This window comes from Homo sapiens, chromosome 16 (genome assembly GCF_000001405.40).
Source record: "Homo sapiens chromosome 16, GRCh38.p14 Primary Assembly".
Classification (NCBI taxonomy): Eukaryota; Metazoa; Chordata; class Mammalia; order Primates; family Hominidae; genus Homo; species Homo sapiens.
In genome coordinates this window covers 85,709,078-85,736,659 of record NC_000016.10, presented here as the reverse complement: position 1 = coordinate 85,736,659, position 27,582 = coordinate 85,709,078, and the positions used below count along the sequence as shown (strand labels likewise).

At 54.6% G+C, this 27,582-nt stretch overlaps 1 protein-coding gene across 4 annotated transcripts in view, besides 3 other annotated features; it reads left to right on the top strand.

Annotated features, from left to right (window-relative positions):
- The window catches only part of C16orf74 (chromosome 16 open reading frame 74), a 43,580-nt gene that overhangs the window by 14,437 nt on the left and 1,561 nt on the right, over positions 1–27,582 (top strand). The window contains exons 2-4 of one of the 4 annotated variants that reach the window (NR_161452.1): positions 1,425–1,470; positions 26,187–26,250; positions 26,375–26,496. Coding sequence is in view for 1 of the 4 variants with exons in the window: in NM_206967.3 (NP_996850.1) it covers positions 1,443–1,470; positions 26,353–26,496 (172 nt within the window). In the remaining 3 variants the exon portion in view is untranslated. Of the gene's footprint in view, positions 1–1,424; positions 1,471–26,186; positions 26,251–26,352; positions 26,497–27,582 lie in introns of all 4 variants that reach the window. The other 3 variants (NR_161454.1, NM_206967.3, NR_161453.1) reach the window with 3 other exon arrangements.
- Positions 945–1,154: an enhancer, noted in NCBI's record as "active region_11282". NCBI's record gives its function as "activates an Ori minimal core promoter by ATAC-STARR-seq in GM12878 lymphoblastoid cells {active_cell/tissue: GM12878}" and the evidence as "EXISTENCE:reporter gene assay evidence [ECO:0000049][PMID:35858748]".
- Positions 7,008–7,875: an enhancer, noted in NCBI's record as "H3K27ac-H3K4me1 hESC enhancer chr16:85762391-85763258 (GRCh37/hg19 assembly coordinates)". NCBI's record gives its function as "activates a minimal SCP1, AML or CMV promoter by ChIP-STARR-seq in primed H9 embryonic stem cells {active_cell/tissue: H9 hESC(primed)}" and the evidence as "EXISTENCE:reporter gene assay evidence [ECO:0000049][PMID:30033119]".
- Positions 26,520–27,089: an enhancer, noted in NCBI's record as "H3K27ac-H3K4me1 hESC enhancer chr16:85743177-85743746 (GRCh37/hg19 assembly coordinates)". NCBI's record gives its function as "activates a minimal SCP1, AML or CMV promoter by ChIP-STARR-seq in naive H9 embryonic stem cells {active_cell/tissue: H9 hESC(naive)}" and the evidence as "EXISTENCE:reporter gene assay evidence [ECO:0000049][PMID:30033119]".

Genomic DNA, 27,582 nt, shown 5'->3' with positions numbered 1-27,582 from the left:
CTCCAGAGACCACTCGTAAGTTGGAATGGCTGCCTTTCATACGCAGCTGGCCCAAGCCTGTTCCCATCAGTATCTCTCGCTTTCCCTCCCTTCCCAAGGCCCCGGTCTATGTCTTGGTGGTATCTCCCACCCATGTCTTACTAGCTCCACCTGGACTTCCAGCTCCTTCTCCTCCAAACCCTTCCTGGCCTGCCATCTTCACATTCACCTCCCCGATTTCTGGCCCAGAGCAAGCATCTCTGACCTCAGCAGGCACAGGAATCCCTGGGGCCTTGTGCGCCTGGGTGGGCCTGAGCTGCTGCCTTGCTCCCCAGCCTCCGGGTTGCTGATGCTACCAATCCACCAACAGCCTGCACATGAGGGCCAGGCCTGGGGTCTCCTCACAGGTACTAGCCACACACCCCTCTAGAAAGCAGACTTGCTCCTTGGCGTCCTCAGAATAAGCTCTTAACTCCAAACCAGCCCCAGAAACCCCAGGTCCCACCCATCTTCGGCTTCTCCCCACCTGTTCCTGCCTGACCTCCCATCCCCTGGGGTTCCTCCCACGGACTGTTGCTTTATCTTCCTCTGGATCTCTGCACACTACAGGCCCCTGTGGGGTGGGGCCCCAGCCTAGGGATTAGGACAGTCCTGGGTTCGAGTCTCAGCTCCACAGTCCCTAGTAAGCTGGTAGCCTTGGGCAGGTGCCGCCACCTCTCTGAGCCCTGATTTTTGTGTCTGTGAAGTGGGGACAGTAATAGTACCTTGCGGGGCTGTTACTGAGGAGTGAGTGTCAAGAGCATGCAGGGGCCCCGCACCACTGGCTGCTGCTTCTATTTTTCAATTGCTTAGAACTCGGGATGCCTCATGTTGCAGGAACATCATGAGAACACTGGTTGGGACAATTCTAATACCCGTGGGCTGGGGGGGCCACACGTCCTCTATAGCTCAGGCTGTCAGATCTCCAAAGAACCTGCATTAGGGGAAAAAAAAAAAGCATTAGAACGGGAGGTACATGGCCATGGGGGCCTCTGGGCCACCCCCGAGCCCTGCTGGCAGGTCTTCACATCTCTGCAGCTGCGGCCGTCCTGTGGCTCTTGAAAGGAAAGGCTTGGTGGTGTCGGTTCCCCATCATCAGTTCACTGCAGCCTCCGCCTCCTGGGTTCAAGTGACCTCACAGAGCCAGGGCTGCAGACGCCGCCTTGGCTTCCTGTATATTTAACTTTGAGGCACCCGTAAGTTTTTTCCACCGTCACAGACTCCATCTTTGAGCAAATCCAGCCCAGATGTAGTTGACAGGTGGCATGACCTGGAGGCCGGTGGTTTCTCTCCACCACAACCTCCTGTTTTGCACTCATCAGGGCCAAGGGTGGGGGCCCGGCTGCACGTGGCCAATACAAACAAGTCGCGCCCTCCCCTCTCTCAGCGCTGTCCTCTCTCCACAGGCCTGCAGAGGTGCCGACATGGGGCTTAAGATGTCCTGCCTGAAAGGTAAGGCCTGAAGCTCTGCCCCCACCAGCTCTCATGGCAGAGGGGGTGCTGGGTTGGGGGGCAGGAGAGAGGGGAGTTGAAGCCCTCTGCCCTGCAGAGGGAGCAGGGCACCATCCCTTAAAGCAGTCCTGTACACAGCAGGTGCTCTAAAAATGCTTGTCCTGACTCTGAGCACCCCTCCAGGCCTTCTATTTCACTAGCAGTGGGTGACTGGGAAGGTGGCAGTGCCTTGGGGCCTCAGTTTCCCCCTCAGGGTGCCTAATCCCAGGCTGTGGAGAGTGAGGGAGGAGGAGGCCTTTGCGAAGGAGCCAGGCATATGCTGGGCTGTTTGCTTTCCCAAGGACACACCCGGGGCCTGTTATCACCCAGACAGGAGGTCCAGCGTCCAGGTGGTAGGAGAGAAGGCCAGCGGGAGAAAGTTCTAGAAGGACACAAAACCACTGAAGGGTGTTGTGGGTGTTAGCAAAGGCAGCCCAGACTTCTGTCCTGTGTGTGGATGGCCCTGGGGCACCTCAGACCAATGTTGCAGGAAACCTCCCATCCCAAGTCCATTGCTGCCCCTCTTCTTTACCTTGGTGACAGTTGCTTTGTTCTCCCCAGCCAAAAACCTGGGAGTCACGTGGGCGGCCCCTGGTCTGACTTGCGGCCCCGCTGCCTGAGACCGCCTCTGGCTCCAGGTGTCCCATGGCCAGTGGTGTGAGTGCCAAGCTTCTAGCCTGCCCCGGGGCCACCTACCTGACCCCAGCAGCCCCTTCCAGGCAGAGGCCACCTACCCACCTGGAGAGGTGGTTGGGAGCTGAGCCAAGCCTGGGATCAGCCTGCATGGTGTGAGTTGTGGCCTCACCAATGCCTCTGTGAGACCTAGATCAAGGGCCTCAGTTTCCTTATCAGTAAAATGGGGATCATGGCGGACCCGTCTCAGGTCACCGGGAGCACGAGAGCAGGGCCTGGAACACTCTGGCGGTGGCTGCTCTTAATTAATTGTACTATTTCCTTCGTCAAATTCACCAGGCTCTGTAGCCCATCCTTTGGGTTTAGGCAGGCTTAGGGCTTTTAGATGCAAGCTACAGAAGCGGATACTGGTTAACAAGGAATTTACTGGAAAGCCGAGGGGAGCCCACAGGAAAAGTGAAGTAAGGAGGCGTGAAAAGGCCCCTGCTGGGAGCCGGGATGAATGGACCACCCTTCAGATTCCCAGGCTGGGAGGAATCCGCTCCAGGAGAGCATCCGATTGGCCCAGTTTAGGTCTTAGGCCCGCCCCTTTGGCCTGGAGGGAGGTGCATCTTGATTGACAGCTCCTCCAACACCGCTTGCGGAGAGATTGGTTCCCCTGGTGAAAATCGGGGTGTCGTTTACTAAGCGGGATGGGATGCCGGACAGACACAAACAGCCCACGTCCTCTCCAGGACCTGGCTTCCTCTGAGACTCCAGGCTGACCCCACAGAGGAGTGGGGAGATGTTTGTTGAATGAGTATCTGTGAGTGGCTGAGGTTAATTCAGCAGCAGACAGTGGTTGAGAGGGTCAAGCCTAACCCCTTGAAACTTGAGGACTTTCTTCCCTTAGACATGAGTTCCCCAGTGCCTGTCACAAAGTAGGCATTGAGGATACTTTTCTTCTTTAAAAAATAATATATATCACATAAACTTACCGTTTTAACCATGAAGTGTACAAGGTTAGTGGCATTAAGCACGTTCACAGTGTTGTGCAACCATCACCCCACCCGTCTTCAGAATGAAGGTTTCATCATCTCCAACTGAAACTCTGTCCCCGTTAAACACTAACTCCCCGTTCCCTCCCCAGCCCTTGGCAGCCACCATTCTACTTCCTGTCTCTAAGAATCTGCTCTAGGGACCTCGTGTCAGTGGAATCATCCAGCATTTGTCCTTTTGTGTCTGGTCTCCGTCACTCAGTGTGGTGTTTTCTAGGCTCATCCACATTGAACATGCATCACTGCTTCGTTCCTTTTCACGGCTGAATAATATTCCACCATGTGGACAGACTACATTTTCTTTATCCACTTCTCCAACGATGGACACTGGGTTGTTTCCACCTTTTGGCGATTGTGTCAGGACATCTTTGACGGAGAAACCAGGCCCCTGGAGGTATCTCTGGGACCACTTTTCTTCCAGCCCAAGGCCGGGACTTGATCAGGAAGGTAGACCAAGACCCTGCAGATCCTGACAGTGCCTGGGAAATGCCCTCCCACCTCCACCCACCCTCGGCCCCTCACGAGTGAAAGCACAGGCAGCCAGATCAGGGCTCGTGGGGCTGGGAGCTTTTAAAAGGACCGTCTTCCTGTCGGCCCCAGAGCTGCTAAGTGTGCTAAGTGCTGGAACAGCGCCTGTCCCGAGTGTGGCTTGTCCATCCATTTTTCATGGCTGGCTTTGGTGCTGCCGGCCCCTGCCCACCCCCACTCGCCCAGCCTGGGTCTCTGGAGGTGATGAGGCCCACACAAGCATGGGGGTGACTTGGGGAATGGGGATTAGGGGGCCAGAACTCTTTTTTTTTTTTTTTTTTTTTTTTGAGACAGAGTCTCGCTCTGTCACCCAGGCTGGAGTGCAGTGGTGCAATCTCGACTCACTGCAACCCCCGCCTCCCGGGTTCAAGCAATTCTCCTGCCTCAGCCTCCTGAGTAGCTGGGATTACAGGCGTGTGCCACCACGCCCAGCTAATTTTTGTATTTTTAGTAGAGACGGGGTTTCACCATGTTGTCCAGGCTGGTCTTGAACTCCTGACCTCAAGTGATCCTCCTGCCTCAGCCTCCCAAAGTGCTGGGATTACAGGCGTGAGCCACCACACCTGGCCCAGAGAGAATCATTTTAACTCCATATTTGAAGTAGCCAGGAACTCTGTAACATGGGGTCTTACTGTCCTAGGGCTGCCGTAAGAGATGACCCCAAACTAGGTGGCTTAAAAGAGGAATTTATTCTCTCACAGTTCTGGAGGCCAGAGGTGTGACATCCAGGTGTGAGCAGGGCCTCGTTTCTTCTGGAAGCTCTAAGGAGGCTCCTTCCTGCCAAGCTCCTGGTGGCACCAGCCATTCTTTGGTTTGTGGGCTTAGCTCCAGCCTCTGCCTTGTGGCACATGGCTTTCCTCTTCTGTCTTCCCTTCTCTTTTAAGGACAACTGTCATTTGCTTTAGCACCCACCCTAGTCCAGGATAATGTCATCCCAAGATCCTTAACTCAATTACATCTGCGGGGCTGCACGGTGGCCCATGCCTGTAGTCCCAACACTTTGGGAAACTGAGGCAGGAGGATCTCTTGAGCCCAGGAGTTCAAGACCAGTCTGGGCAACATTGCAAAACCCCATCCCTACAAAAAATACAAAAATTATCAGGGAATGGTGGCATTTCATGCCTGCAGTCCCAGCCACTTGGGAGGCGGAGGTGGGAGGATCCCTTGAGCCCAGGAAGTCAAGGCTGCAGTGAGCTGTGATCACACCACTGCACTCCAGCCTGGGTGACAGAGCCAGACCCTGTCTCAAAAAAAAAAAAAATGACATCACAAAGATCCTGTTTTCAACAATGTCAGATTCCCACTCACAGGCTCCGGTTAGGTGTATCTTTTGGAGCGGGCACCGTTCAGCCCTGGATACGATTACTCTCACTCCCTGGGGCCTCAACACTACACGCTGCCCAGGGCACCAGGAGGAGGGACCCGCCAGGACCCAGGCCCTCTGCCCCTCTGCTCTAGCCCCGCAGCCTGGCCCAGGGACTCAGACCCACCCACCTGTTTCCAGGTGACCCTCCTGTACCATGCCCCCAGCTCCAGGCCTCCCTGGGTTCAAATCCCAGCTCTGCCCCTTAACGATTTGGCCTTGGAGCAGGGCCAGCTTCACAGGCATGTGACCTCTGCAGCTGCACAGGGCCCCATGCTCAGTTTAATGCTCTTAATACATATTGAACAATGGGCCTCACATGTTCGTTTTCCACTGAGCCCCACAAATTACACAGTGGTTCCTGCCTTAGGGCAAGTGACCTTGTCTCTCTAGGCCTCAGCTTCCTCTGGGGTAAACTGAGGCATCCTGCATCCAGCCCACAGGTTTTATTGAGTGCTGGGTTCTGGAGAGGACTTGAAGAATCATAAAGACAGGACTCTGCTCAAGGACATACTATCTAGAGCCACACCATCCAGTAGAAATAGATTTTGACGTTTCTAGCAGTCCCATGAATAAGGTACAAAGAAACGGGTACGATTACTTTTAATATGTTTTATTTAATTCAGTATATTCCAAACATCATTTTAATGAGTGGGGTCCAGTTCACTGGTCTGGGAGGTTCAGTCAGCTGATCTGGGGGGGTTCAGTTGTCTAGGGGATTTAGGTTTGTGGTTTGGGGGATTTTGTTGTCTGGTCTTGGGGGGTTGTCTCGTATGGGGGAGTTGGTTAGTTGGCTGATCTATGGGGTTTAAGTTGTCTGGTCTGGGAGTTACTTGGCTGGGCTGGAGGCTTTACTTGGCTGGTCTTGGGGGCTTGGTTGGCTGGTCTAAGAGGGTTTACCTGTCTTGTATGGGGGTTAATTGGCTAATCTGGGGGTTCAGTTGGCTGGACTGGGGTTACTTGGCTGGTCTTGGGGGTTTAGTTGGCTGGTCTGGGGGTTTAGTTGTGTGGTCTGGGGGTTCAGTTGGCTGATGTGGGGGTTCAGTGGCTGGTCTGGGGGTTCCCTCGGCTGATGTGGGGGTTCACTTGCCTGGTCTGGGGGATTTAGTTTGCTGCCCTCCTTTCCCTTCCCCTCCAGTCTGGGAATCTCTCCCTCTAGAACCAAAGTAGGCTTTCTGAGCCGGGAGGCACCTTGGCACTCATCTTGCAAAGCCTTACATTACAGATAGGGAAGTTGAGGACCAAGGAGAGGAAGTGACCAGCTACAGTCACACCAACTAGAAATGAGACATGGGCTCCTCTAGGGAGGCAGCTCCGAGACCCGTTCTTATTCCCTTTGGAGGCGTGGTTACGGGAGGCATGGGCTGAACCCACTCAGCAGAGTGTGAGGGTCACAGTGGGTATGACGTTCTTCCCTGCGGGCTTCATCTCACCCGCTCTGACCAGCCACAGCCCCAGCCCTCGCCACCTCCTCCTTCCTCAGCTCCCCCAGGGGCTCTGAGGCTGTGTAACTGCCCAGGAAGACACAGGCCCCTTCCCTATTGGGCTGGCTTTGTGTCGATGGCACCCGACTTGGCTGGCTGGGATGGGATCTGCCCACTGCTGGGCTGGCTTCCATCTCTACCGTGCGTGACTGTCCGGTGGCTGCTGTGACAAATGACCACGCTGGGGGGCTTAAAACAGCAATTTTTATTCTCTCATTGTTCTGAAATCGGCCCTGGCAGGGCCGCCCTCCCTCCTCAGCGCCAAAGGAGGAACCTTCCTGCCTCTTCCAGCTTCTGATAGCTTCAGGCCTCCTGGGTCCAGTCTCTGCCTCTGTCTTCACGTGGCCTTCCTCTCTTCATGTTGCCCTGCATTCAACCTCCCTCTCCTCCTCTTGTAAGGACACCAGGCATTGGATTTAGAGCCCCTCCGCCCCCAAATCCAGGATGAGCTCATCATGAGATCCTTAACTAATTACATCGGCAAAGACCTCATTTCCAAATAAGGTCATATTCTGAGGTTCTGGGTTGATGTGAATTTGGGGGACACTATTCAGCCCCCATTAAGTCAGTTCACCTCTGAGCTTCCCCTGTGGGGGGCAGGAATGTGCTTCTCCTGTCTGGCAACAAAGACTCTGCCCAAGGGTGGTAGATATTGAGAGGGTGGCATAGGAGGAACACAGCTGTGCCAACACCCCTTTGTTTCCGAGTCCAAAGGAAAGGGGCTGCAGAGTCCCTCTGCTCAAGGGCCTGGCCATGGTGACTGTGACCCACGGGAGTGTCCCACAGGCCAAAGAAAATCTCCCTCGTGCCTCACCCTATAAGGGTTGGCACGTGCTGGCATCAACAGGATCTGGGCATGGCACCCTCATCACTGCTGAACTCTACAGACAGGGAGGCTGAGGCACAGGGGACCTCTCACTGGCTCAAGGCCACATGGCCAGTTAGGAGGGGTTGGCTCCACAGACGGAAGGGGAAAGGGGGAGTCGTCTCCTTGGTTCCTAAGTGCGCCCTCTCCAGGTTCCAGCAGGGCGGCACAGCCAAGGAAATGGCATGGTCCTGCTGCATGGTTCTCAGTGGGGTCCGGGACCTTCTGTATAGGCATCACTTAGGAACCAGTCAGACCATCAGATTCTCAGGACCCACTGGATCAACTGAGTCAGGAACTCAGGGTTTTCAACACATCCTCCGGGGGGATTCCAGTGGCTGTGTAACTTTGAGGACCACTGGCAAAGTGGCTCTGGGGTCAGAGATCCGAGTTCATATTCTGGGTCTGCCTCTGACTGACTGCAACGTTGTGCAAGTCACTTCCCGTGCCCAGGCCTCAGTTTCTGTGTCTGTAAAATGGAGTGGTGACTGGGAAGATCTCCTGGGTCAGGTCTCGAGAGTTTTCTGAGATAGGCACTAAAGATGGCACCCAAGGAGCCGTTACACCTTCCTGCTATGGAGGTGGCTGCAGGTGTGCGGGGGCCTCTGCAGGAAGACTTAAACTGCAGGCATGGGCTTTCCCACTAGAGTGGCTGGCTGGGGCGTTAGGGCTACCTGGGAGGACCCCTGTGATCTGTGAGGTTCTGTGGGGGCGGGGTGGGCGTCAGCTCCAGCCTGGGTTAACTCCAGTGTCACCATGGATACAGGCTCCTGGGAATGAGACTGGTCCCAGCAACTGTCCTGGGGAAGGTCCCTTGGGGCTGCCTGGGGCTTGGTGGGAAAGATGAAGGCTTTGTCCTGGGTTGGTAGTTTGTCATTGTTTTTTTAATTAGACTTTATTTTTTAGGACAGTTTTAATTTACAGAAAAATTGAAAAGATAGTACAGAGAGTTCCCACACACCCCACACCAGATTCCGCTGTTATGAACAACTTACACTCACACGGTCCACTCGTTACAGCAAACCAATCAATACAAATCCATTGTTATTTATTTATTAGTGTTTTATTTATTTCTGTGCTTATTTATTTATATTTTTGAGACAGGATCTCACTCTCCCTCTGTTGCTCAGGCTGGAGTGCAGTGGTACCATCACAAGTCACTGCAGCCTTGATCTCTGGGGCTCAAGTGGTTCTCCTGCCTCAGCCTCCCAAGCAGCTGGAGTATAGGTGTACAACACCACGCCCAGCTAATTTTTTTTTTTTTTTTTTTTTTTTTGTAGAGAAGGGGTCTCGCTTTGTTGCTCGGGCTAGTCTTAAAGTCTTGGCTTCAAGCCTGGACCTCCCAAGGTGCTAGGATTTCAGGCATGAGCCACCGCACCCGGCCAGATCCATTCTTATTAACTAATATCCACACTTTTTGTTTTTTTGAAACAGGGCCTGGCTCTGTTGCCCAGGCTGGAGTGCAGCGGCACAACCTCAGCTCACTGCAACCTCCACCTCCTGGGATCAAGCGATTCTCCCACCTCAGCCTCCCAAGTAGCTAGGACTACAGGCAAGAGGCACCACACCCGGCTTATTTTTTTTGCATTTTTAGTAGAGATGGAAGTTTTACCATGTTGCGCAGGTTGGTCTTGAACTCCTGGGCTCAAGCTATCCTCCTGCCTCAACCTGCCAAAGTGCTGGGATTACAGGCGTGAGCCACCGCACCCGGCCAGATCTGTTATTATTAATGAATGTCCACGTGATTCCGATTTCCCCCATGTATTTTTTCTGTCGCAGGATCCCACATGATATTTAGTTGTCATACCTCCTTAGGCTCTTGGCTGTGACAGTTTCTCAGACACTCCTCGTTTTTGTGGGGACCCCAGGCTGCCAGGCATGGCTGTGACTCCCTCGCTCGGGGGGCTCAGCCTGGGGTTGATTGGTGGTTGGCCGTTATGATACCCATTTTTCTGATTTGCCTTCAGAGGCTTGCGTCTAGCCCCTGGTCAACCCAAAACCCAGAATCCCTCCATATGGCCCCGTGACAGTGTGAATGCCTGGCTCTGCTGGCGGACAGCTGCAGGCCAGAATTGCGTGAGAGATTGTTCCCTCCACAAACGTTTATTGCGTCCCTACCGTGCACTGGGCGCTGGCCCAGGTGCCGGGGCTACAGGGATGAACAAGGCAGTGTGGTCCTGGCCACTGGGAGTGTACAGAGGTGAGGAGTGACCTTAATGCTAACTCAGTGCTGGATGGAAGCTAGCACCTGCCTACCCGGGGTGGCTAGGGGTGGCATCACCCAGGAAGCACCCCAGCCTAAAGAGCTGGCCTGGCACAGAGCGGGGAAGGGGTGGCTGTTTCCGGTAGCAGAAACTCATGGGCACGGGCTGGGAAGCAAGCAGCAGCCTGGCGTGCATGGTGGAGGAACTGGAGGGGCCACAACGCCGGAGAGGATGGTAGCAGCCAGGTGGAGCCAGGCAGGGAATGTGGAGTTTCCATCCCTGGGGACAGGAGCTCTGTGAAATGGGAGGGTGAGAAAAACGTTCATTCCACTAATACATTTCAGCAGTGTTCAGAACAAACTGGAAATTTCATACATTTGAAGGGAGATCACATGGTGGAATCCAGTCCCCGCTGAACCAGGAGTTAGAAAATAGCCAAGGTCAAGCACCCCACTTCCCTGAGCTTTCCTGTCCCTGTCTGTAAAATGGGCTCAGGCTCCTGCCTGCGGGGATCCTGGGGGAGGTCCTCACCCACTGCCTGCCATTGCCACCGCCATGTTCCAGGGGTCTTTGTCTACTCTGCTGACCTCCACACCCAAGCTGCGAACAGGAGCCAACGCACAGTCGCTGTTCCATGGTGCTGGTTCCCTTCCAGTGCGGGACAGAGCCCAGAGGAGAGTGTGTCCCGGGCAACTCCACACAAACATGTACTGAGTACCTGCTGCATGCCAGGCAGCACACTCAGCCCTCGGGATGCAGCAGTGAGCAGCACAGAGCTCCTGTCCATGGGGGAGAGACGGAAATGTGGAATGGTGTGTGTGAACAAACACACACCCAGCAGGCTGGATTTCGTGGTGAGTGCTGTGAAGGGAATTGAGCAAGGAGGTGCAGTCGAGGGGATGAGGCAAGGTGAGGGGTTCTCTGTGGTGCCGACACTGGAGTTAGCCATGTGGATGCAGGGAACAGTGTTCCAGGCAGAAGGAACAGCAAATGCAAAGGCCCTGAGTCAGGACCAAGCACACTGAGCTGGTGAGCAGCGAGGAGGCAGGTATGGAGGCCGGGCTGAGCTGGAGGAGCTGAGGTCCCTGGGGCCAGCAGGTGATAGAAGCTGAGGTGTGGATTGAGAACTTCAGAGTAATACAGGCCAGGTGCGGTAATACAGGCCAGCACTTCGGAAAGCCAAGGTGGGCAGATTGCTTGAGGTCAGGAGTTTGAGACCAGTCTGGGCAACGTGGTGAAACCCCATCTCTACAAAGAATAGAAACATTAGTTGGGTGTGGTAGCATGCGCCTGTAGTGCCAGCTACTCAGGAGGCTGAGGTGTGAGGATTGCTTGAGCCCAGGAGATGGAAGTTGCAGTGAGCCAAAATTGCCAAATTTTGCCAAATTGCCAAAACCACTGCACTCCAGCCTGGCAACAGAGCAAGACCCTGTCTCAAAAAAGAAGAAATACAAAGCACTGGAATCATTCTAGCCCAGGAGTCTAAACCTCCACCCACATCAGAATCTTCTGGAAGGCTTCCAAATGGATGCAGCCACTGCCCATTCCCCAGAGGTTGGGATGAGATTGGTGTGGATGGGTCCCAGGCACTGGTGCTCTAGGAGGCCTCCTAGGTGATTCCCCTGGGTGGTCCAGGCTGACAGCCAATGTCCTTGCCTTCCAGATGGGGCTGCGGTGGGGACTGGCTGCCCAAGTTAACAAGGAGCAAGTCAGCCTGGCTGGGAACCCAGGTGTGCAGGCTCAATTCCAGGGCTCTTTCTGGAACCTTCTGAACAGATCTCTGCCCAGGAGGCAGGAGCTCCTGAGAGACACCCCACTCCAGCCTCCCTTCGGCTCAGGGCAGTGGGGTGGATCATCAAAGCCTGTTTTAAACGAGGGAGCAGATGGCGTCTGATCTCGCCCCGCCCCCTGCCCAGGGCAGAGCGGGCACCCCTCCTGGCTTACAGCAGGGACTTAGCCGGTCCCCCCCCCATCAGTCACCCATGCTTAAGCTAAACCTCCGGCACCTGATATCCTCCGAAAGGAGGGAGGCCAGCAGGTGGGAGACGAAGCGCCATTTCCAGCCGTGCCTGGGAAGGTCAGCCTGGCTGGTCTACACCCCAGCACTCTGTGTTAGTATTCGGGTGATAGTTCCCAAGGATGTTCTCCTCCTCACACTCCTGGATCCGTGAGGTCAGGAACCACGCTGTCTTTTTGATCCCTGTAGCCCTGGCACCTGGCCCAAGACTTGGCACACACAGACCACGCAACAAATGTTTGCAGAATGAATGTGCTCTCAGCCTTAGGCACCATATGGAGACCCTCCTCGGACTGACCCTCCCGCCGGCCGGGGTGGCTGCCCTGTCATCCCCATTATCCTCGTCATCCCCATGATTCCCATCATCCCCGTCATCCCCGTCATTCCCATCATCCCACAGGGAGCTCAGCGCTCCCAAAGCTCACACCTCACCAGGCAGGTTCAGCTCTTTCCCTCCATCTCCTTTCATCCGCACAGCAAGGCTTCCGTGCTGTCCACTGTCCCCACTGTAGATACAGAAGCTGAGGTGTCAGGTGGTAAAGCTCCCACCTGAGGTCACCCAGCCAGAGTATGGCCGAGCTGGATCCCTAGGGGCCTCAGGAACACAACCCAACCCAGCAAGTCCAGAGTCCAGACAGAGCCTCCCCCTCGTTCCCTGCAGTTTCCTTAGGGCCTGGCCTGCACCACGTGCTCTAGAAGTATCTGTGGGATGGACAAAGGTGAGGAATGAGCCTCCAGGGAGACAGAGGGATGGGGAGGTGCTGGGACTCACGGTCCCACCGGGGGTCTCCCTGGCTTTGTGTTGCTCAAGACTCGGAAGTCAGAGCGGGCCAGGTGCAGTGGCACACACTTGTAATCCCAGCACTTTGGGAGGCCAAGGCAGGAGGATTGCTTGAGACCAGCCTGGGCAATATTAGTGAGACCCCATTTCTACAAAATAAACGTAGCCCGGTGCCACTGCATTCCAGCCTGGGCAACAGAGTGAGACCCTGTCTCTGAAAAAAAAGAAAAAAAAAATCGAAGGAAGTTAGGGCAGTGTTGACCAATTACCAGCTGCTGGACATGGCCGGGCACGGGAGCAGACCAGCCTAGTTATCCTGGGCCAGGGCATCGCGGCTGCCCTCCCAGGGGCCTGGTTTCCAGAGAGCAGATGTGTGTCTGGGCAGGGGCAGCCTGCTCTTGTGCCCTGTTTTTGTCACCCAACAGCACACACCAGGGATGGCTCCTGTCAGCCCCACAGTACTGCCCACCCTTTCCCACAGCTGCACAGCACGGCTACGTGCACGCCCCACCACCCTCGAACCCAAATCCGGCCTGCCTTGCCCAAGCAGGACTTCAGTAAATATCCTTCTACCATCCACTCAGAAGGTGGCCTAGGGTGGAACATTCTAGATGGTTGGAGGGTGTGTACCCTTCACATTTTGACAGCTTTGCCAGTGAACCCCCTGAAGTCACACCAGCAGCCCCTTCCACTCACCCCATGGGAGATGACCGTGGCCATAGCGTTAACAGCTTTCCCGTTTTTGCCAATCTGTTGGGTGAAAAATGGTACCTCAGGAGAAGTTCATGCTTCCTCTGTTTTTAACAGGAAGCATTTAACTTTTTTTTTTTTTTTAGTACAGATGGGATCTTGCTATGTTGCCCAGGCTGGCTTCAAATGCCTGGCTGGCCTCAAGTTGTCCTCCTTCCTCGGCCTCCCAAAGTGCTGGGATTACAGGCATGTGCCACTGCACCTGGCCTTTTTTTTTTTTTTTTTTTTTGAGATGGAGTCTTGCTCTGTTGCCCAGGCTGGAGTACAGTGGTGCGATCTCAGCTCACTGCAGCCTCCACCTCCTGGGTTCAAGTGATTCTCCTGCCTCAGCCTCCCAAGTAGCTGGGATTACAGGCATGCACCACCACACCTGGCTAATTTTTTGTGTTTTTAGTAGAAACAGGGTTTCATCATGTTTGCCAGGCTGGTCTTCAATTCCTGACCTCAGGTGACCTACTTGCCTCAGCCTCCCAAAGTGCTGGGATTTCAGGCATGAGCCTGAAATTAGCTGTGTGATCTTGGGCAAGTGGCTCAACCTCTTTTCGCCTCCGTGTCTTCCAGGATGAGCTGGGCGGGATAACACCAGGGGCTGTTTAGATCATTTCAGGAGCCAAGTCCTGTGAAGGCACTGGCACCGTGGCGCCTGGTGCACATAGGCGTTCATAGAACGTGCTGAGGGACCTGTCACTGCACTTGTCTCTTCTCAACACTGGGGCCAGCAGCTCCTGGGGCCCTGGGCCGGGGCTTTCCCGTCAGCAGTGAGCCCCTCTGTAAGATTCGCTGAGGTTGCCTGGGCAACATAGGCCGGGTCCCAAAGCATGTTGCTGCTGTCGGAGTCCAGGAAAGTCCTGGTCCCTGATCAGGGAGCGAGCAGAGCAAGGCAGTCCTGGGGCCCTGGGCCCACTCAGCGGGAGCCAGGACTCCCCGGAGAGCTCACCTTGCAGAGTGGCTGGACCTGAGCTGGGAGTGACAGTGCTTGGTGCCGCTTCCGCTCCTGAATGTTGCTCCTACCTGGAGCTGCAAATCCAGCCCAGCCTTCAGTCTGCTCCGCTCTCTGGCTGCGGCCTTTCCCAGCTTCAGCTGCCCACAGGGCCCATGTTCCCCTGGGATACTCCCAGTTCGCTCAAGTAGCAACGTTCACCACCTTTCTCTGGTACTAACTGGAATCGGCCTGCTTATACTACTCCTTCCAAAGCAGTAATAATGGTGCTAATTATATGGCCTGACTAAGTGCCTGCCATTCGACACCTTCCTCTTAGTACCATGCATCCTTATGACAGCACTGCAGTATACAGGTTATTATCTAGGGCAAAAGTTACAGTCAGAGCTGGGCACAGTGGCTCACACCTAGAATCCCAGCTTACTTAGGGGGCCCAAGCAGGAAGATCACCTGAGCGCAGGAGTTAGCAGGCCAAGGCAGCAAGACCGCGTGAGCCCAGAAGTTTGAGTTCCACCTGGCAACATAGCAAGACCACCATTTCTTTAAAAAAAAAAAAAAAAAAAAAAAAAAGGTTAGAATCTCTATTCCAATGAGAAGGCTAACTGTGTGTAGCAATTGTTAGCGCTGATAACCCCCTTTGCAGTAGGTGACAGAGAGGGTAAGAAACTTGTTCAGACCACACAGCAGGTCAAGGGCAGACTGGGGGCTTGGGTTCCTCTGGCTTGGGCCATCCTGGAGCCCCTCCGTGTAGCCCCAGGCACTGGGACCACATGGGGACAGAGGAAGCCAGCAGCTCCATGCCAGGAGTGCCAGCGCCAGCCCTGAAATGCCCAGTTATTGTTGCAGTGAATGACAATTACCCCTGTCTTTGAAGACCGTGGGTGACGGGCCTGCTCCCCCGACAGCCCCATGTAGAGCTGCCAGATTGAGGAGGAAAATAACATAAAAACAGGATGCCCAGTTATATATGAATTTCAGATAAGGAATACTGTCAAGTAGAAGCATGTCCCAAGCATTGCATGGGACATGCCTCTACTAAAAAAACTATTTGTTAACCTGAGATTCAAATGCGATGGAAGGCCCGCATTTTACCTGGTGACCCTGCCCTCCAGGGACAGTTGGCAATGTCTGGAAGTATTTTTGGTCATAGAAGCTGGGGGTGCTACAGGGTCTAGAGGCCAGGGACACTGCTAAACATTGCCTGACACACAGGACAGCCCCACCGCAGAGAATGACCAAAGTGTTAGCAGCGCCAAGGCTAGGGGACCCTGGGTCACACACGAGTGTTTCCGTGGCCAGGCAGGGTGCCAAGTACGTGGCTTTTTTTTTTGTTCTCATGGTTGTCCTGCTCTTGTTTCCATTTTAGGGATGAGTAGATTGAAGGCTGGAGGAGGGGACACTGCTGGGAAGTGATGGAGCAAGGGCTGGACCTGGGCTTCATTTTTTTCTTTTCTTTGGAGACAGAGTTTTGCTCTTATTGCCTAGGCTAGGGTGCAGTGGCGCGATCTTGGTTCACTGCAACCTCTGCCTCCTGGGTTCAAGTGATTCTCGTGCCTCAGCCTCCCAAGTAGCTGGGATTACAGGTGCCCACCACCACGGCTGGCTAATTCTTTTTGTATTTTTAGTAGAGATGAGTTTTCACCATGTTGGCCAGGCTGGTATCGAACTCCTGCCCTCAAGTGATCCACCCGCCTCGGCCTCCCAAAGTGCTGGGATTACAAGCATGAGCCGCCACGCCCAGCGCCACCCCCAACCGCTTTTTTTTTTTTTTTTTTTTGAGGCAGGATCTCTCTTGCCCAGGCTGGGGTGCCGTGGTGTGATTGCAGCTCACTGTAACCTTAAACTCCTGGGCTCAAGCAATCCTCCCTTCTCAGCCTCCCAGGTAGCTGGGACTACAGGTGCACATCACCACATCTGGCTAATTTAAAAAAAAATTTTTTTAGAGATGGGGTCTTGCTATGTTGTCCAGGCCTGTCTTGAACAGAATTGCTGGGCTCAAGCAATCCTTTGTCCTTGTCCTTCCAAAGTGCTGGAATTACAGGCATGAGTCACTGTGCCCGACCCTGGACCTGGCCTTTGGAATCTGGGCTCACCACACTGTACCTACACCCTCCACAGCCTTCCCAGAGCGCCCAGTGCTAGGATGAGCAGGAACAGACCACGGGAACTGGGAGGGCTGCCCAGGAGGGAGGAAGTGCAGTCAGTGCCCAGGGCAGGAATGTGGTTTGGCTGGGCAGAGCCAGGCGGCTGGGCACCTTCCCCCACCTTGGTGTGTCGAAGCTCCTGTCTCTAGCTCCTCTCAGGTTGTCTCTCTCCAGCAGCTCATCCCTGACGCAAGCTAGGGCTTTTTCCTTAATTAAAAAGAGATTTAAAACATCCACTGCTGTCTCTATCGGGCCTGGGATGCCTCGAAAAGGTAAAACCGCCAAGAGCTACCCCAGCCTCATCCATAATAACACAAAGCTTTCCCTGTAATTGGAATTAAAAAAAAAAAAAAAGATTAAACGCATCTGGAACCCTTGGAGGAATTTATCAGTTTGCTTTTGAAAGACCTGCACTAAATCCAGACACCCGGTCATCTCTGAGGGATTAGTGTCACCCCGCTCAGCCCCTGTGGCCCCTCTGTTCCTGCCTCAGGGCCTTTGCGTGTGCTGTGGCCTGTGGCCCCTCTGTTCCTGCCTCAGGGCCTTTGTGTGTGCTGTGGCCTGTGGCCCCTATGTTCCTGCCTCAGGGCCTTTGTGTGTGCTGTGGCCTGTGGCCCCTCTGTTCCTGCCTCAGGGCCTTTGTGTGTGCTGTGGGTGCCTCGGGAATCTCTCCTGCCGCTTTCTGATTGACCCCTTCTGAAAAGCCTTTTCCAATTCCCAGTCTCCCCTAAACCCTGCTTCTTGGTACTGTGAGTGGGCTTATCATCTGCCCCTAGTCCCTGCTTGAACTGACCCAGGATCTTGGAAATATCTTTGTGCTTCCAGCCCCCAGATCACAGGCTGTGCGCAAACAGGCTGTGCCCTGACTTCTCTGTGCCTCAGTGTGCCCGTCTGGAAGATGGGGGCTGCCTCACTGGGAGGATCAAACGATCAGTGCCCAGAGGCACTCACACAGTCCAGCCTCCCACAAGCACTGTTCTCAAAGCTCAGCATCGTGGGCCCCTCCCAGTGATAGCTTGAATCACTGGGGACCCTCCTGCTTTTTCTCCAGTTGACCCTGAAATCTTGGGGACCTGATTCCTGCTACTGGAGCCTGGACAGGAGGTGTAGGGGAAAGGCACAGATAAACCTCTGTAGAGGCCGTTCTTTCCGCAGCAGTGTCTGCAGCACCTGGGGCCATGCAGGGCACACAGCAGGTGCACAATAAATGCCTGTTGACTGGCCACCTCCCTGGCCCAGGCTCAGAGCTGGGGTGTTACACCTGTGCTGCAAAGGAGGGTGACATAAGCTGGCTCTGCAGGTGAGAAAGCCCAGGCCGAGAGGCAGTGTCACAGCAGGAAGCAGAAGTGAGATTCAGATGGAGGATGTCCTCCTTCCCAAGCCCCTGGCCATTCCCATAGAATAAGGGAAAATTGTGCCCCAAGAGTCAGGCTGGAACCAGGAATATTTTGTGTAGCACCCACTCCAGCTGCGTGACCGCAAGGGGGCGACAAGTCCCCCGACCCACACTCGGGGCTGGAACAGTAGCCGTTGGCACCCAGTAGGTGCTGAATGTTGAAGGAATCAATGAATAAGTGCCCTGAGGACACTTACACCTGCAGTTCAAATCACGTGATGTGGATCTAAGCTTAGCATCAACTCGTGATCTGAATGACAGCTTGTGTTTATTACGTGTGCACAGCGAGGCCAGCACTGGAGTTTTCTCATCCACAAAACGCATATAGAATCATCGCACCGCATTGGCTGGAGTGAGGACTCAAGTGTGGTCCTTAACCTCTCATGCCTGCCCACCCGGACCTGGGCACTGTTATTTACCCCAGTTCTGCAGGTGAGGAAGCAGAGGCCCAAAGAGGGGGAGCCACTGCCCAGGTGGACCGTAGCCCAGGTGGGCCGTCTGGCCGTCCATCGCATCGTGGGTCCGACAGGCTGGAGCCCTGTGTGTGTGTGATGGTGCCTTGGGGAAGAGGGCGTGGTCCCATTCAGGGCCTCCAAGTGAAACGTCTGGGGTGCAAGCCCAAACGCTGTTTTTAAAAGAATCAGGCCGTATGGGGTGGCTTATACCTGTAACCCCAGGACTTTGGGAGGCCAAGGCAGGAGGATCGTTTGAGCCTAGGAGTTCAAGACCAATATAATGAGGCCCTGTCTCTACAAAAAAGTTTAAAACTTAGCCAGGTGTGGTGGAGAGTGCCTGTAGTTTCACCCAGCACTTTGGGAGGCCAAGATGGGAGAATCGCTTGAGCCAGGGAAGTCCAGGCTGCAGTGAACCTGAGCCACAGAGAGAGACCCTGTCTCAAAAAATCAATTCATTAATTTAAATGAAATGAAAAAGAACTAGTAGAGGGCGCACGTGAGCCGTGATGCCCACGCTTGCTCCTGTCTCCAGCGGGTGTCTGCGGTGACCTCTGGGCGGCCGGGAGTTCACCAAGAGCTGGCACAGGGAATGGTGCCCTGACCCCAGGGACCTGGGCATCCTCCACAGAGCCTGGATGTAGCGTCTCGGGCACGGGCTTGCCTGGCTCAGGGCTTTTGAAGGATCAGGGCTGCGGATCCCAGCAATGGTGAGGGCAGTGGGGCCTGGAGCCACGTCAAGCCCCAGCCCTGCTCCCCAGGCTCTGTGTATTACCAGCACGTTACCTCCCTTCTCCAAAGCTCAGTGTTCTCCTTTGTAGCATGGGCGTGATCCTAGTGTTCTCCCTGAGGGATGGTGTGAGGGTTGAATGCAGGAGTGCAAATGGCAGGCTCAGCCCAGAGCCTGGCTCCGGATGCTTTGGAAGTAGTGGTCTCAGCGGAGAGGCGGCACGGCACCCCCAGCTCAGGACCCCCTAGGCCCCGGCCAGCTGGCTCCCCGAGGGTCATTTCTCCCCACACTTGGCAGCCCCACACCCCACACCTGGCACTTCCTGCAAGGCTGGTGTCATAACAGTTTTACAGCCAGGGAAACTGAGGCTGCAAGAGTAAAGCCACCTGTTCCCACAGTGGCCCTAGCTCAGGGGTTCCCATCCCTGGCTGTTAAAGTCACCTGGGAGTTTTTCAAAATCCTGGCACTTCTCACAGAGCCTTGAATCAGCCTGGGCTGAGGCCCTGGATAGGTGATGTTAACTTCCCAGGTGATCTCAATGGGCAGCCGCGATGGGAACCGCTGTCCTGGAGCTAGGAGGGCCCAGAGCCGGGTCTCAAAGCCTGTCCAACCTCGCCATGCCAGCACCCGCCTATGTAACCCATGTGGAAATCCAGCTCCAGGGGCCTGGGTTCTGTGGTCTGGTCTGCGTGGCTCTGCCCCCACTGCGAGGACAGTGCATGGCCGCAGAGCGGGGGTCAGGGCCTGGTGACCCGGAGCACGAAGCCTCCCCGGAAGTGGGGAGGTCTTCCTGCACAGGCTCCATCCTTCTGAAGCCTTGGGACGGGCCTGGGTCCCTGGGATCTGCTCCCTTCCTTCTGGAATCCCAGGCTCAGGAAATAGGCTTTTAATAGCCCGAGGCAGGCACATAATTAACAAATAACAATTCTGGCCTTAGCACAAATGAGCTCCTTGTCTGGGGCAGGGCTGGCATTTGGTTTTTAATCCCCAGCATTGGCTTCATCCTCCTGAGAGCTTTCCCTCCTGTTTGGCCACCTCTGCTGCTGAGGCTTGGCAGGCCCTGGGGATGTGAGAGGGGCTGGGGTGTCTCTCTCCTCCCTGCCTGCCCTCCCCTCTCCCTCCCTTCCTCCTCCCTCTCGCCTTCCTCCTCCTTCCCTTCCTCCTCCTTCTCCCTCTGCCTTGTCTGCTCCCTCCTCCTCCTCTCTTCCTCTTCCTGCCCTGTCTTTCCTCCTCCCTCCTTTTCTCCCTCCTTCCCTCTCCCCTTCCCTCCCTCTGTCCTCCTTCCCTCCCTCCTCTTCCTTCTCCCCTGTCTCCTCCCTCCCTTCCTCCTCTCCTTCGTCCCCTCTCTCCTCCTCCCTTCCTCTCCCTCCTCTCTTCCTTCCCTTCCTCCTCTTCCTCCTCTCTCCCTCTTCTCCCTCCTCCCTTCCTCTTCTCCCTCCTCTCCTCTCTCCTCCTTCCCTCCCTTCCTCCTCTTCCTCCTCCCTCCCTCTTCTCCCCCAACTTACTCCTCCCTCCCTCTTCTCCCTCCTTCCCTCTCCTCCTTCCCTCCGTTCTCTCCTCCTTTCCTCCTCTCCCTCCAACCCCCTCTCCTCCGAGACTTCTGCCTCTCCAGGGCTCACTGAGAACCTGATCCTTCCAGGTTATATGTGTAGGTTTTGTCCTCAAGCTCCAGACCACGTTAAAATGCAAACGTGGGGTGTTTTATTTTAGAATCTTGGAGTATTCACCGAGGAAGGGGTTTGGAGACTGAGCAGGGAAGCTCCCTCCTGTTACAGACACGATCATCAGCGATTCCTTTTGTCGGGGGCCTCCGATCATCAGCGATTCCTTTTGTCGGGGGCCTCCGCAAGGAGCTCTTTGTGGATGATAATAGAGAACACTTATGGGGCAGCTGGCTGGGCGAAGTGCTTTCGTGAATTCATTCATGTCCTCACACGCAGCCCTTCAAGAGGGAGCTGCCCTGCCCACCTGCAGCTGGGGTTCTGGCTGTGGCTTTTGTTTTTGGCACGAACAAGCCTCAGGCTTTCGAGGTTCTGCTATTGCCAGTGTGTCCTAGATCTCAGCTCCCCTCCGCAGCCAGTCCTGGATGTTATAGAGCAGGGATTGGCAACCACAGCCCTGAGACCCAATCCTGCCTGATGCCTGCTTTTAGAAAGAAAGTTTTATTGAGACAGAGTCATGCTCGTTCATTTCCACGTTGTCTACGGCTGCTTTCAGGCTGCCGTGGCAAAGCTGTGTGTGTAGTTTGTGTGGCCCACAGAGATCAAATATTTCCTGCCTGGCCCCTTGCAGAAAGTTTGCCAGCTGTTACATGGGATTATGCTACAGGAAGCACCGGCTCTTGGGGTCAGCCAGATTCCAGTCTGGGGATGGATCCTGGCCCTGCCTCCCACTAGCTGTTCAGTTGTGGGTGGATATTACTCTCTTAGGTCCCCAGTTTCCACATTTGTAAGATGGGGCTGGTGACACCGAGCACGGTGGCCATGGAGCCTGAAGGAGCGCACGCCTCGGCCCCAGTAGATTGTCTGGGCGGTGGCAACACATCCCTTTGTCTGTGGTTGTTTGGGGTAGGGGCGCCTCTCTCCAAGTGACTTCCTTTGATTTGTTTCACACTCTGGGCTTCTGTGCAAGATTGCAGGAGAAATGTTCTCTTCTTTTTTTTTTTTTTTTGAGACGGAGTCTGGCTCTGTCACCCGGGCTGGAGTGCAGTGGCGTGATCTCGGCTCACTGCAAGCTCCGCCTCCCGGGTTCACGCCATTCTCCTGCCTCAGCCTCCCGAGTAGCTGGGACTACAGGCGCCCGCCACCGTGCCTGCCTAATTTTTTTGTATTTTTAGTAGAGACGGGGTTTCATTGTGTTAGCCAGGATGGTCTCGATCTCCTGACCTCATGATCCGCCCGCCTCGGCCTCCCAAAGTGCTGGGATTACAGGCGTGAGCCACCGCACCCGGCTGAAATGTTCTCTTCTTTAAAGAAGGTTCAAACCCCACTGTATTAGACCTGCTTCGATGGGACTGTGTGGGTGCCGCTGAGGGGCTCGGAGTTCTGTTGGGCTGAGGTGGCCTCTTCCCTCAAAACTACCCAGCAGTCGGGGGCCAAGAGTCTTCCAAGGCCGGGCACGGTGGCTCATGCCTGTAATCCCAGGACTTTGGGAGGCCAAGGCGGGTGGATCACAAGGTCAGGAGTTCGAGACCAGCCTGGCCAATATGGTGAAACGCCGTCTCTACGAAAAATATAAAAATTAGCTGGGTGTGGTGGCAGGCGCCTGTAATCCCAGCTACTAGGGAGGCTGAGGCAGAAGAATCGCTTGAACCCAGGAGGCAGAGGTTGCAGTGAGTCGAGATCACGCTACTGCATTCCAGCCTGGGCGACAGAGCAAGACTCCGTCTCAAAAATAAATAAATAAATAAATAAATAAATAAATAATAAATAAATAAATAAATAAATAATAGGTCTTCCAAAGGAGGAAACAGTGTTGGGGTTCAGAAGGTGGGGAGGTGACTGGGGCAGTGCCTGGGGTGAGGGGCGGATGCTCGTCACTGGGTTTGAGAATGAGGGGAGGGAAGTGAGTGGCTGTGCACAGGACAAAGGGGGCTCATCATGGTCACCTCACACCAGCCGTGTGTCCCAGGGACCGTGGCCGTCTCTCCCCAGCCCAGGGAGTCGGCTGATTCCCCCACTACCACCTTGCGCTTGTCTGTGAAAACAAGAAGGCTGCAAAGAGTTAGACTAACAGAAGTGGGGCGGGGGCACACATGACCACCCACCCTTCCACCACCAGCTGCAGGTTTGGGGCTTCCCCAAACCACCCTCATGTTTGTTCATTTGCTGAAAGGACTCACAGAAGTCACTGGAGGCTCTGATTCCCGGTTATGGCTCATTCCAGGGAAGGGACCCAGGTTAAGACCAAAGGGAAGACGCTCACAGGGCAGATCCCACGAGGGTCCCAGGCACAGTCTCCCACTGTCCTCTCCTCGTGGAGCCATGGACAGCACCAACTCCTCCTGACGATGGTGCGTGACAGCACAGAGCATCATCAGGAGGGAAGCCCCTTGGCTTCAGTGTCCAGGGGCTTTAAGGATTGAACCGTGTCTTCCAAAAATTCATAAGTCAACCTCCTCGCCCCCAGGGCCTCAGAATGTGACCTTCTTGGGAGTAGTGTCTTTGCAGGTGTAATGAGTTAAGATGAGGTCATTTTAGTAGTGTGAGCTCCTAGTCCAATATGACGGGTGTCCTTATCAAAAGGGGAAATCTGGGCTGGGCGCTGTGGCTCATGCCTCTGATCCCAGCACTTTGGGAGGCCAAGGTGGGCAGATCACCTGAGGTCAGGAGTTTGAGACCAGCCTGGCCAACATGGTGAGACCCTGTCTCTACTAAAAATACAAAAATTAGCTGGGCATGGTGGCGCATGCCTGTAATCCCAACTACTTGGGAGGCTGAGACAGGAGATTTTGTTTGAACCCGAGAGGCAGAGGTTGCAGTGAGCTGAGATTGTGCCACTGCACTGCAGCCTGGGTGACAGAGTGAGATCCGTCTCAAAAAAAAAGCAGGGGGGAGTCTGGACAGAGACAAGACGCAGGGAGAATACAATGTGAAGGCAAGAGGTAGAGATGGGGTGAGGCTTCTACGAGCCTAGGAACGCCAGATTGTCAGCAACCACCAGAAGCCAGGGGAGGGGCTTGGAACAGTCTCCCTTGCAGCCTCCAGAGGAACCAGCCTTGCCAACACCTGGATCTGGAACTTCTGGCCTCCAGATCTATAAGACAATGAATGTCCATTGTTCCAGCCGCCTGGTTGACGGTGCTTTGTTGTGGCAACCCCAGGAGACGAAGGCACTGGGGCTCCTCTGGAGGCTGATTGATTGCTCACTTTGGAGCTCAGGCTGCAGGCTGCTGTCTCTCCGGGCATGACCCGGAGCCCCCCTCCATCAATCACGCCTTTGGACACCCAGTGTAACCACAGCCCCCGGCAAACAAAGACTCTCCTATCAGGCAAGATATTCCAAGGGCTTAGAGAGCACCTCTCAGAAACCGCGGACAGAGACCAGACCTCTTTTTAGGCAAGATTAAATTATTTACTGCACAAAGGGCCCAGAGAGGAGGTGCAGTGCACGCAGGGTCACACAGCTGGTGGCCTGATTCCAAAGCCAGTGTGCCTACTGCTTTCAGTTTTTCTGAGCCTGCAGCCTTGGTCAAGCTGCAGGTGAACCAAGAATTTGGCCTGAATGGCATGGCTCCAGGTCCTCTAGGTGTACATGCTTTTGTGGATTCAAACAGATCATCCCTGACAGCCCAGGTGTAACCTGCCTCTCAGAGGAACACCCCTTGGGTGAACAAAGGTTACCCTGAGAAGCCTCCTGTGATTTCCCCACAGCCGGGTATGAGATTCCCACTGTGCACCTGCCATCCCTTCCTACTGGGTCAGGGAAAGATTTGCTGACTGTCAGTAATCTATCACTGCATAACAAACTATGCCAAAACTTTGTGGCTTAAACATCAAACCTTTATTATCTCAGAGTTTCTGTGGGTCAGGAATTGAGGAGTGGCTTATCTGGGTGGTTCTGGCTCAGGGTCGATCATGATGTTACATCCAAGATGTCAGCCGGGGCTGCAGTCTCATCTGATGGCTGGACTGGGGCTGGAGGCTCCACTGCTGAGGAGGCTCCCTTGTGGCTGTTGGCTAGAGGCCTTGATTCCTCACCCACGTGAGCTGCTCCACAGGCTGCTTGAGCATCCTCGTAACATGGTGGCTGGCTTCCCCAAGAGCAAGTGTTCCAAGAGAGAGCAAGGAGGAAGTTGCAATGTCTTTTATGACCTCACCGTGGAAGTCACACACCATCATGGCAGTCCTATTTGTTGGAAGCAAGTCACTAAGTCCATCCACACTCAAGGGCTTAGACTCTGCCTCTCAGAGCCATATTTCAGAACCCCCACACTGACCCTACAGTGGTCACTTAGGAACATTGTCCTAATGGTGGTCAAGGGAGGCCTGAGAACAGTAGGAAAAATATTCCCCCAACCCCTTATTACTCAGCTTCTCCTGTTGGTCAGGGGCTCTGATACTTGAGCTAATTTAATCCCAGCCTGGCACCGTTTGGGGCAAAACCAAAGTGATGGGACATAGAGACAAGGATTGTAACACCTAGCTTAATGCTGCCTGAAGGGTTTTTGGTTGCGTTTAATTTTTTTTTTTTTTTTTTTTTTTGAGACAGAGTTTCACTCTTGTTGCCCAGGCTGGAGTGCAATGGCACAATCTTGGCTCACTGCAACCTCCGCCTCCCGGATTCAAGCAATTCTCCTGCCTCAGCCTCCCGAGTAGCTGGGATTACAGGCGCATACCACCATGCCCAGCTAATTTTTTTTTTTTTGTATTTTCAGTGGAGACGGGGTTTCTCCGTGTTGGTCAGGCTGGTCTCCAACTCCTGACCTTAGGTGATCTGCCCACTTCAGCCTTCCAAAGTGCTGGGATTACAGGTATGAGCCACCACGCCCAGCCTTTTTTTTTTTTTTTTTAAGATGGAGTCTTACTCTGTCATTTAGGCTGAAGTGCAATGGTGTGATCTCAGCCTACTTCAACCTCTGCCTCCCGGGTTTAAGTGATTCTCCTCCTGCTTCAGCTCCTGAGTAGCTGGGATTACAGGTGTGTGCCACCACACCGGGCTAATTTTCGTATTTTAGTAGAGATGGGGGTTTCACCATGTTGGCCAGGCTGGTCTTGAACTCCTGACCTCAAGTGATCTGCCCGCCTTGGCCTCCGAAAGTGCTGGCATTACAGGCATGAGCCACCGCGCCCGGCTGGCATTTGAAATTTAAAGCACTCCTACTTACTCTGTCTCGAGCATGCGCTAGGCTCAAGGGAAACACAGATGAATGAAATAGAGACTGTCCTCCAGGTGTTCACAGCAAAGAGAGGCAGAAGTAAAAATAAATCATGTCATTCATTGATGAATGAGTGAGTGCAGATGGGCAAAAGAGGGAGCAGCCAGATCTGCTGGGACACCTTTCCCAAGGAAGAGCCCGTTGCACTGGGCTTTGAAGGATAAGCAGGAGCTTGTTACTCAGGCAGAGGAAGAAAGAGCATCCCAGGCGGGGGGAGCAGCATATGCAAAGGCACGAAGGGGCCCCAGGAGCCTAGGGAGTCTGGGGAAGTGTGAGCACTTTGGAGAGTGGAGGCTGGAGCGCTGTGGAGAGTGGGGGCTGGTGGCCGGGAATGAGGCTGCAGCTGGCTGGGCCACATGGTAAAGGCTGACAACTGGACCCAGAGGCCAACTAGCCTATGATCAGCATTTCCCAAAATCTGTTTCCCGACTCATGGTTCTGTGAGATGTGACAAGGGCTCCTTTTTCATTCCTGAGACGCCGGTTTTCATCTGTGATGCGGGGACAGCTGCGCTCCTTGCTGCGAGGCGTCAGGACCCAGGTGATAGTGAAGGGAGGGTGGCGCCCGCGGTTCCCGGCGGCCACTGATGCCTGTCTCTCTGTCGTGTGTACGTGCGTGTGTGCTCCACGCCTGGCTTCTCAGGCTTTCAAATGTGTGTCAGCAGCAGCAGCAGCAGCCACGACGAGGCCCCCGTCCTGAACGACAAGCACCTGGACGTGCCCGACATCATCATCACGCCCCCCACCCCCACGGGCATGATGCTGCCGAGGGACTTGGGGAGCACAGGTGAGGCCGTCCCCTCCACCGCCAAGCCGGGTCGGCTGTGGGGGCCCGGTGGAGACAGCTCTCAGGGGCGTCCTTCCTGGCCACGGGGCCTAGCTTGCGTCCCCACCTCCCACTGGGTTCGTTAAACATTTATGGTCAGACCTGTGTACACTGCACCGTGAGCCCCCTGCCACGGCGCCAGCCTCAGCACGACGCGGCGTGTTAAGTAATTAGTAGACAGCCCCTGCCAGCAGCCAGGACGCTTGATGGATGGGGCCGGGCTGGCCCGCCACGCCGCGGCTCCGGCCAGCCAAGGTAATTGATGGATGCTCCTTCCCCTGCCAGCGGGAGGACCGCTGCTCCATCTTGTTGGCCGCTGCAGTTTGGCCGGACAGGACAGACTTGGAAACACAGCTCGTGCCCAGGCTGGGGCCGGACCCTGGGCCTTCCAGATGCAGCTCACTGCTGGGAGCGGCGAGGAAATAGAGTTCTTCCCAGGGAGAGGGTGAGGAGGTGGGAGACAGAGGCCCAAATCGGCAGCCCTACCTGCCTCTCTGTGATACCTCTGGAGCTGGTGGGACAAATTGTTCATGTATTCATTGAGCAGAGATTTACTGAGCTGGGCCTATGCCGGGTGCTGAGGCTGCTGCTATGAATAATAATAATAATAATAATAATAATAATAATAACATTGGGGATGGTCATGATAGGTAGCACTGTACTGAGCGTAACAAATGGATTTTCTTATTTAGTTCTTACAGGAATTCTCAGAGTTCAGAGTTAAGTACAGATTTCATCCCCATTTTATTATTTGTATTTATTTATTTTTTTGAGATGGAGTGTTGCTTTGTCACCCAGGCTGGAGTGCTGTGGTGCACTCTCAGCTCACTGCAACCTCCACCTCCTTCATTCAAGTGATTGTTCTGCCTCAGCCTCCTGAGTAGCTGGGATTACAGGCACCTGCCACCACGCCCAGCTAATTTTTGTATTTTAGTAGAAATGGGGTTTCGTTGTGTTGGCCAGGCTGGTCTCAAACTCCTGACCTCAGGTGATCTGCCCACCTGGGCCTCCCAAAGTGCTGGGATTACAGGCATGAGCCACCACACC